This window comes from Homo sapiens, chromosome 12 (genome assembly GCF_000001405.40).
Source record: "Homo sapiens chromosome 12, GRCh38.p14 Primary Assembly".
NCBI classification, from domain to species: Eukaryota; Metazoa; Chordata; class Mammalia; order Primates; family Hominidae; genus Homo; species Homo sapiens.
The window spans coordinates 115226149-115235643 of NC_000012.12; the positions used below are offsets into that span (position 1 = coordinate 115226149).

At 43.0% G+C, this 9495-nt stretch overlaps 1 annotated feature.

The window, feature by feature from the left end:
• Positions 6822 to 7022: a silencer, noted in NCBI's record as "peak1981 fragment used in MPRA reporter construct". NCBI's record gives its function as "represses an SCP1 promoter by STARR-seq MPRAs in K562 erythroleukemia cells {active_cell/tissue: K562}" and the evidence as "EXISTENCE:reporter gene assay evidence [ECO:0000049][PMID:32103011]".

The following is a 9495-nucleotide window of genomic DNA, read 5'->3' on the forward strand; positions in this document are numbered from 1 at the left end:
CCGGGCCAATCACTGCTTGCCAAATAGCTGTATTAACCCAGAGGAAGGGACGTCTTTCCTAACGTGCAGAAAAACACCAGGTATAAATCATCCTATTTAGTCCTCTCAACAATGCTGAAAGGTAGGTGTGGTAGATTAAAAATGGTCACAAATTCTTTGCTTCTCTTCCTGTTGAGGAGATAGCTAAATCCTTGGGGAATGGAGCTCATGCTACATGCATTGTTGAGAAGCAGAGACTAAACACCCTCCCCCCTGAATCTGGACTGGCCTTAACAACTCACTTGACCAACAGAATATGGTGGAACTAATGGCTGGAACTTCCAAAGCTAGGTCATAAGAAACCTTACTGCTTTTTTTCCCCTGGGTTTTCTGGTGCTATGAGACACCATGTATAAAGTTCAACTACTGTATTCTATTGATCCGTCACAGAGCTCAGATTTAAGAAGTCATAAACACATCACCTGTTAACCTAAGAGTGTCCAAACAATTTATGACCACCTTCAATCTACCAAATCGTTGGTTGAACTCATTCAACAAGCATTTGTTTGTTGAGCATCTGCTTTATACCAGACACTAACTTAGGCCCTGGGAATACAGTGGTGAACAAAACAGAAAAGTGATATGCTTCCATGGAACCCGTATTCTAGTGGGAGGCTGCATTCTAGCTTGAACAGATGGATCAATGAACTGGAAAGGAAAATGAAGAATGTCTATCTGGTCTCCAACTTTTGACCTGCTACATGTGTCCTATAAAATAATCTCACGATGTCACAAGATCCAATTTGCTCTTTCCAAGCCAATTTTCCACTCATTGATCATCTGCATTTAACTTTGAGGCAACAGCTGAGAAATTCTGAAATAGTAAGAGGAAGATTCTCCCTCTTACTTTCCATGGGCTGTCTGGCATGTCATAGGGCTCAGGGACTAGGTGCTGCCTGAAACTCTTGTGGCCGAGTCAGGTCCCCCATTAGCTCTGAGTTCTGGAAATTGACCAGAATTTACAAAGAAGGAGGGCATGGGGAGAATGAGGAAGCTAGAGTTGCATCATCCTGACTCAGGTCAGCCAGTGTCCACCTTGGCAATTGGCTGCAAGCTTTGGGATTGGCATGAGAAGGTTACGTTGACTGGGCCATCTAACCAGCAGCCTGAGGGCTGGGCCTGAGCAGCACCGAGGAATTTCACACATGGCGGTGCCAGCCTGGGTTCTGTTCTGGAATAACACATGCAAGTGACAGGGAAAACTCGTGAGTCATTGAGCTAATCTCAGCTCTTTTAAACTGGGTGCCTGGAAGATGAGCAAAGTTCTGACTTCAGCACCATCAAAGAGGTTATATGGCAAAGTCAACAGTTTCAACAGGGAGGAAAAGGCTGAATCACCCAGGCCATTGCTTTCCCCTTGCCTGAGTCAGGAGTAAAGGATTAAGTATTCTATTTTAGGGAGTTCCTAAGTGCTCCTGAGGAGAGCTTCCAATAGAGGTGAGTAGGTTCCTATTAACTCTGCAACACACCTTTCAAGCTAGAATCCATTTATTTTACATTTCCATTATTGGGCAACCAAATGCTATTTATGAGCTCCAACTCTGAGTGTCCACAGATATAATTTATGTCAATCACCTAGATTTGTTTTTCTAAAAATGTGCTCTGTAGAACATTAATTTTCTGGCACTCCTGATAGGTGACTGGGCGAGGTAGGGGGTTAGTATGCAGAAAAAAAATTGATCATCAAATATGGGATATACTTGGGAAATACTTGGTTACATTTTCTTCAATAGATTTTTCTACTTTAGGACTTTTCAGAGCCTTTGGTATGCTAATGTACATTGCAAATCTTCAAAAAAGCTTTAGATCTTATTAACCCTTCCCGACTTGTTTTGTCCATGAACCCCAACTTTGGAGAGTAAAGAAATCGTTTTTCATGAAGACACTTTGAGAAATGTTGTCCTTGAATCGTTTAGAACAATTCTCTCAAATTGTGGGCATACAAATTAACCAGAGACCTTATTATTAAAAATGCACATTTCCATCTCAGACATTAAAATTGAGTAGGTCTTGGGTGAGGTCCAGAAATATTCATTTAATAAACATTTCAGGTGATTTTGAAGTGAGTGATCCATTGCACACACTTTGGAAACCACTGCTTTAGAGCTAGAGTTGGAAGGCAAGTAAATTTAATCCTTGATTTTAGAGATAAGGAAACTGAGGCACTGAAAGTGATTTTTCATACAGTGAGTTTTTTGTGAAGTCAGGGATTGGTCTGAACTCCCAGATTAGAAAAAACCTCTCTCATCACGTAATGAGACATGCGGTACTTCATATGTATCTGAGATTTCTGGAAATAATAACAAATTAAGCATTCAAGGAGTGTTGAAATCACGGAAGGATAAGTAACTGAATGAATGAGTAACTGTATACCCCTATTCTACTCACTTATACCTCTTTTGATGCAACCCAAGAGCACAGTTTGTTTGATGGGTTCTACTTTATGGCAAAGAAAACTGAGGTTCAGAGAAGTTAAGTAATTCGTTCAATGCCACACAGCAAGTCAATGGTAAGGTCATAGTTGTAAATCAGGATTTTTTTCTGATTCCAGATTTCATTCCATGGCCAACCTCAGACCCTAGAATCAGAAGTGGATTTGCTTCTCAGCTCTGCTGCTTGCTAATTGTGTGACACTGCTCAAGCAACATAACTTCTCTGAGCCTTTTGTGTAAAATGAAGATAGTAACTCGCTTCATTGCTTTGCTGAAGGCATTAAATGAGGTAAAGTGTGTACACCATGGCAGGTGCCTAGCATGTGCTAAGCACTTTGTAAATATTAACTGCTGCTAATAATAATATTGATAACTGTGAATAGCATCTAAAAGAGAGCAATGCACATCGTGAAGGAAAATAAATTTCTTTTTTGGATAACAATGCCATGGTCATAAGCTTGTAAGGTCTGGCTTTCTTGGTGTGTCCTGTTGGGTCCCAGACTCTCAGAATCCCAGAATGGAAATGGGCTCTCGAATTCACCTGGTCTAAGACCCAGCCCCTAATGTAGATTCCCTGTGAGAAGGTCCCAGCAGCCGCATCTTCTCTCAGTTTATCACCTCCACTGACAGTGAATTATTTCTAGACAAATAGGAGCAATTTTTAGTGCCCCATTTCCCGAAGTGTTGCCTAAGCACTACAACCCCCAGAAGCTGGTCCTTAAGAAAAGAATTCTGCATTCAAATAAGCTTGAGCAATGTCATTTGCTATTTTTTTTTTTTTTAAATGCCGTGGTGTGATCTGGGTGGCTCACTGCAACCTCTGCCTCCCGGGTTCAAGCGATTCTGTGCCTCAGCCTCTCTAGTAGATGGGACTACGTGCACGTGCCACCATACCCGGCTAAGTTTTGTATTTTTAGTAGAGACAGGGTTTCACCATGTTGGCCAGGCTGGTCTCGAACTTCTGACCTCAGGTGATTCCCCCGCCTCAAACTCCCAAAGTTCTGGGATCACAGGCTTGAGCCACTGTGCCCGGCCTGTCATGTGCTCTTAACTGCCTCCCCTCACCCTACCCAGATATATTCATAACACCCATGTTCATGTTCAAGGCTCTGAGAAGTCCTGCAGTCAGGAAAGAAAAGTCACTCTTCGTTGAACCCATGGCTCTCCAGACTCATTTGATCAAAAAGCCACATTGACAGGCAGTTGAGCTTTTCCTCTGTGGAATCACTTTGGGAACTTCTTCTGTGCTAGAAAGTTTCCTCATCTAGTAGTTCATAAGTAATTTTTTTTTCTGCAACCATGCTGCTATGCTATGACATGATTCTGAATTCACATCAAGTCAAAATACTACTGTTATAGTTCTTTTAGGAAATACATATTTACTATTTAGTAATACTATGTAAATACTAAATAGTAAATACTATGTACTTATATATATAACTATAGTATTTAGTAATACTAAATACTAAATACTGTTTAGTATCTGGTACTGGTCCTAGTTGGTATGCACTGGTGCAGTTTTACTGGTTGTTTACAGCTGACATCTACTCTGAAAGCCCTCCGTCTGTGCCACATTGGTTGTTAATATTTTGAATGCCACTTCTGCTAACAACTCCTCAAGACTGTTCTGTCTCAAAGTCCATCGCTGTAATTCTTCGTTCTGTACATCAGCTTCCTGAGTCCCATCTCTTCTCTAACGGGACTCCTTGCCCAGCTCAGACCCTACCTTATCCTTTAACTTGCTTCTGCTACTAGTTAGTGACTTTAGTTTCTCTTCCTGACTCTCAGGGAACTTGTCCCCAGAAAATGTGCCAGAGAAGAAAGGTTAATGAAGAGTCACAAATCCCAGCACAGCACTCGGTGTTCAAAAATTGCCATTTGACCTTGAAATTCAAGCATGCCCTTGCACACACGCGCAGACACCTCCCAGACTTCCTAAATGCAAATACCGAACTCTAGCCCTTTGCCTATTGTAGCAGGGGTCTCCCTTCTCCCCATGAGGCAAATCTACTAAGAGAACTTCCAGAGCCCTTTCTTGGGGAGGGGAGGAAGGTTAAAAGTGTATATAGAGCATTCTTTCTGGCTCTGCTCAGGCAGGGCAAAAGGAGTGGGGTTTCTGGTTTCAAAGGGAGTACAAGCAAAGCTGCTGCTTTTGGATGCAGCCCCTCTTAGCAAAGTGAAGAGCTTTTTTTTAAAAATCCTCTCTCTCTCTTGCAAGCAAAGCCATAAATCATGAGCGCTCCTCCGGTTCTGCGAGTGGGGGGTGGATTAAAGTTGTTTGGTTAGATTTGTTTGAATGTGTGTCTTTTGGTCTTCATCGCCTCTCCCTTCATAAACATCAGCTTGTAAGTTCTCGTCCCCTAGAGGACACACCGACAGCATCATGTTAAATATTTAGAACGGGAAACCACCTTACTCCACTGAATCGGAAAAGCAATCTTGGGAACGGCGCTCCACTGGGCATCCCTTCCCTCTCTTGAGCTCCCAGATGAGAAGGCAGCCTCCTTATACCCAGGTGTCACCTCAAACTGTCCCTGAGAAAGGAGTCAGGCTTGGTACCTAGTAGGCAAATGCTTGGCTGGGAAGATGTTGCTCCTTGGAGCAGGTTTTGTAGACCAAGTTTAATCAATAATATATATATATTTTTTGTGCCCGGGGGCAGGGCAGAGTCTTGCTCTGGTGTCCAGGATGGAGTGCAGTGGTGCTGTCTTGGTTCACTGCAACCTCCACCTCCTGGGTTCAAGTGATTCTCCTACCTCAGCCTCCCAAGTAGCTGTGATTACAGGTGTCCACTACCATGCCTGGCTAATTTTTGTAATTTTTAGTAGACACGGGGTTACACCATGTTGGCCAGGCTGGTCTCGAACTCCTGACCTCAGGCGATCCACCCGCCTCAGCCTCCCAAAGTGCTGGGATTACAGGCCTGCGCCAATGTGCCAGCCAAAATACATTTTTAATAGCCTTTTTCTTGTGAGCTAGGTAGTTATCTGGCTCAGTGAAGGAAGGAAAACATGGTAGGAGGAAGAAGTCTGCCAAACCATCTGCCAAAGCATCACCCAAGTCCAGGTGCCTGTTTGTTGATATGTAAAACTGTTCACGCTACTCTCCTGTGGAAAACTTTCTGTGGCTCCCTATTGCCAAGGGAAAAATGTCTACTTGCCACCTAGAACATAGAAAGACCTTTCAGAACTCGGCTCAAGTCTATTTTTCTTTCTTGTTTGTTCCTTCTTTTATCCATGCCTCTGATCTCATCAAACTCTCATGCCTCCTTTTACAAAACATGTATTTTTCATATCTTATATTCACTTCAGACTCGCCACTCCCTGTGCCTAGAGTGATATTTACTCCATGTCCCCTTCGTATCCCAGGAAGAATTCAGCCTGTCTGCTATTAGTTTAGAATAGAGTAGTCCCCCCTTATCTGCAGGGCATATGTTTCAAGACCCCAGTGAAACTGAAGATAATACTAAACCCTTCAAACACTATGTTTTTTTCCTTTACATACAAACTTATGATACATTTTAACTTATAAATTACGCACAGAGAGAGACTAACAATGATGTGGAAAGTGAAACTATGTATGGAGAGGACTACTGTATTTTAATAGTGAATAACAGTAAACAGTAAAAAAGATATGTTGGCTCATGTAACTGAGAAGTCAAGATACATATGGGCTTCAAGTAAGGTTTGATCCAGCCGTTCAAACAATGGCACAGAGGGCCCAGTTTCTTTGTGTCTCTCCACTTTGTCTTCTGCTGTGTCAGACACCACATAGCAAACCCTTGGTAACTCATATCTTCCTTAATGGCAGCAGAGAAGTTCTAGACCTCACATATTCACCCCATAACATTCAGGAGAAAAGAGACTCTCTTTATTTAGCTTCTGCACAAGCCCTGGGATTGACTTTTTACCGGTCCAAGTCAGACCTTGTGTCTATCCCTGTACCAATGGCTGGGACTTTGGGGGGATCATATCTGTTTGTACATGTCATTCCCTCTGCTTGGCATACGCCTCCTTGTAAAACCCCTATTCAACCCTCAAAACCCAAGTCAAATGTCCCATAACTCTTTTAGGCTTCCCCTTTCATTCCAACCTGTCCCTGGTGAGTTAAACTCTTTTCTATGTTCCCAAGACCCTCGATTTTATTTCTCTTTGTGCATACAGCATATTGCCTTAGGCTTCCATTTTTAAATTTGTGACTACCCTACTAGACTGTGAGTTCTTCTAGGGCCACTGACCACACTGGATTCATATGAACTGCCCGCATGTTGACTCACATACTGCCAGACACATAGGAGGTCTCGAATTATCTGTCAAATGAATGTATGTGCAATGTGCGTGGATATCTGCTGTCATCACATCCAGGTTCTGAATCATCAAGCAAGATAGAGAGGTTCTTGAACTCTCAGGCTTGGAGCATAGAGATGACGCTTCCCTGCTGAGCACTGTCTCACTTTTGCAGAAACAACACACATCTCCCAAGGATCATCTCTCAGAGATATCCCAGTCTTAAGAGAGTAATTTCAGCCTGGTTCTAAAAACAGATGGTACAGGGGTCAGACCCTCAGCAGGCTGGCATGTCCCACTCCAATTGGATAATTTAAGGAGACTTTAAAGGAGGAGCATTTATCTTAGATGTAAATAGAGGAGGTGCGGCTGGTTATAGGGAAACCAACTAGGGTAGGAAAGCACTCCAGGATTACTGACATGAGGAAGCTGTTACAACCTCAAATCCTATGAGAGCAGTTTTCAAAAGCCAGAGTGTGAGAGCTGAAAGGGACTGCCATCTCACAGAAGCAAGGGGCTTCAGAAGAAGGAGACAGGGAAACCCCAGCGCCCTGGCATACAGGAGACCAGTGGGTAAAACCCGGCCCTCACTCTTTTCCTGCCAGTGCCTCCCATTGCCCAAACCCAGTGGACACCAGGACTCAAGGGAGCTGCTGATATACCATGTAGGTCAGCCTCCTGCGACAGAGCAGAGTGGAGAAGGCTGAGGAGGCACAAGACAGCTGCCCATAGGGTAAGGTGAGTCAGACCCTGGAAAATGAGGCTGTGACTAGCAGGGGCCAAATGGGTTTTATCTTATTTTATTTTTTTAATATTCTGCTAACTTGACCTCATTTTTTCTTTTTGGATCAGAGAAGATGGCAGATTGTCTACCTTGATTCTAACTAGTCAATAAATAAAGATCAGCTAATTGGAAAAAAAAAAAGCAATTAGTTAATTCTTGAATTAGTATTTCCTTTAGATATTTGGCATAGGTTGTTATGTTTTCAGGAAAGGTGGTAAAGGTGGGCTAGATGTCTGCAGTCATCTGTGGGCCTCCCTGCAGGCTGCATAATTCTCACCCAATGGGGGTGGATGAAGAATTGCAGACAGGCAGGAAGATGGTTATGAATCCGTATGGCAGGGCTCCAGCAGCAGCCTTGCCTGCTCATACCATTGTTATCAATGAATTGATTAAAAACAGAAGATGTCTGTTTATTGTATTTCCTGGTGACAGGAAGTCTGAAGAACTGGCTATCAGTTTGGATGACAGGCTGGGATGGCAAATGGATGAAATGATGAACTGAGTTAAACGGGATCCCTCGAGTTAACTTTTGATACTCAAAATGCCAAATGCAAAAGCCTCAGGCCAGAGTTGGCTTTTAAGGAATGAGTACCAGTTGGCCAGGCAGAGGGAGCAAAAGCGAGAGAAGCACATCCCAGCTGGAGGACCCAGCAAGAGCAAAGGAATGCAGGTATGAAACACTGTAGGCTGCAGGCTGCGGATGGATGCATTGAGAGGCAGGAAGTAAGAAGAGGTGAAGCAGAAGAGGTAGTGAGAACTCTGCCTGAGAAGGGCTTGGTCAGGAGCATGGAATTCACCCCAAAGGTGACTGGGATCGTGCAAGGGTTTTTAGGAAGGGAGTAAATAGAGAAGATTATTTATTTATTCGTGTATGTATGTATGTATTTTTAATTAAATCAGTTGATCGGTTCAGGATTTTTTCGTAAAATTTTATCATGAGAACTTTCAAACATACAGAAAAGTTGAAAGAATTATACAAGGAACATCTGCACATCCCCTATCTGGCTGCTATAATGGATATTTTGCTAGATTTGCTTTATCACACATCCGTCCATCCCTTCATACTTCTAACCACTTCTAGCCACTCACCAATCCATGTTCTTTTTTTTATAAGTTGCAGATATTGGAATACTTTACTTCTAAGCTCTTCAACATTCATAGCCTTAACTACAGTTCACACTTGTTAACACAGATTTGATTTTAAATATAAAATCATTACATGTCACAGCTAGTTAGCAAATCCAATCCATGGAGCCTGATTCCAGGGCTAGTGCTTATGCTCATATTCATCATCACACGGCATCTGGATGGAGCCTCTTGAGCTTTCAGCAGACGACTGAGCCAAGAGGTGCTTGCCAATTAATGAGATGGAGATTTAATACAGGAGGAGGAGTCTGCACAGTTACCCGGGCAGGACCAAGATAGAGCAAGACCAGAACCATGGAGGAGAGATGCTAGGTGCCCATCAACTTGCTGCCCCAGGACTCAGAAAGCCTTTGAAGAGAGTTGAGTGTTTGGACAGACCCTGTTCCCTGATGGTCTTTATATCCCTGATTCAGCTCAGAGCACTTCCCTTATGGAAGACTGAGCAGGGCTCTGAGTCCTAGTTCAGCACTAAGCAACTTCCTGAACATGTTGAAGAAAACAAAATAAACTCCAGAAGTACTAGAAAAAACAGTGGAAGGACTGTTAACTGAAGACTGAGCGTTAATGCTTGGGGTTGGAATTCTGATGCTACTGTGTTTAGCTACCTGTTGAAACCCAAGCCAGTATCCCCAGTTTATCCATTTGTGTATAGTTGGAGAACTCCGAAATGCTCTTTTCGTTTTGTACCGGCCTAGATTTCTCAAGGCAGAACGGGATTTCCTTGGGATCCATGGGAGTTTAGACATGGTTCATATCAAAATCTCTTAGCGATAAATCAGACTGCTTAGTACATCATCTGCCATCAATA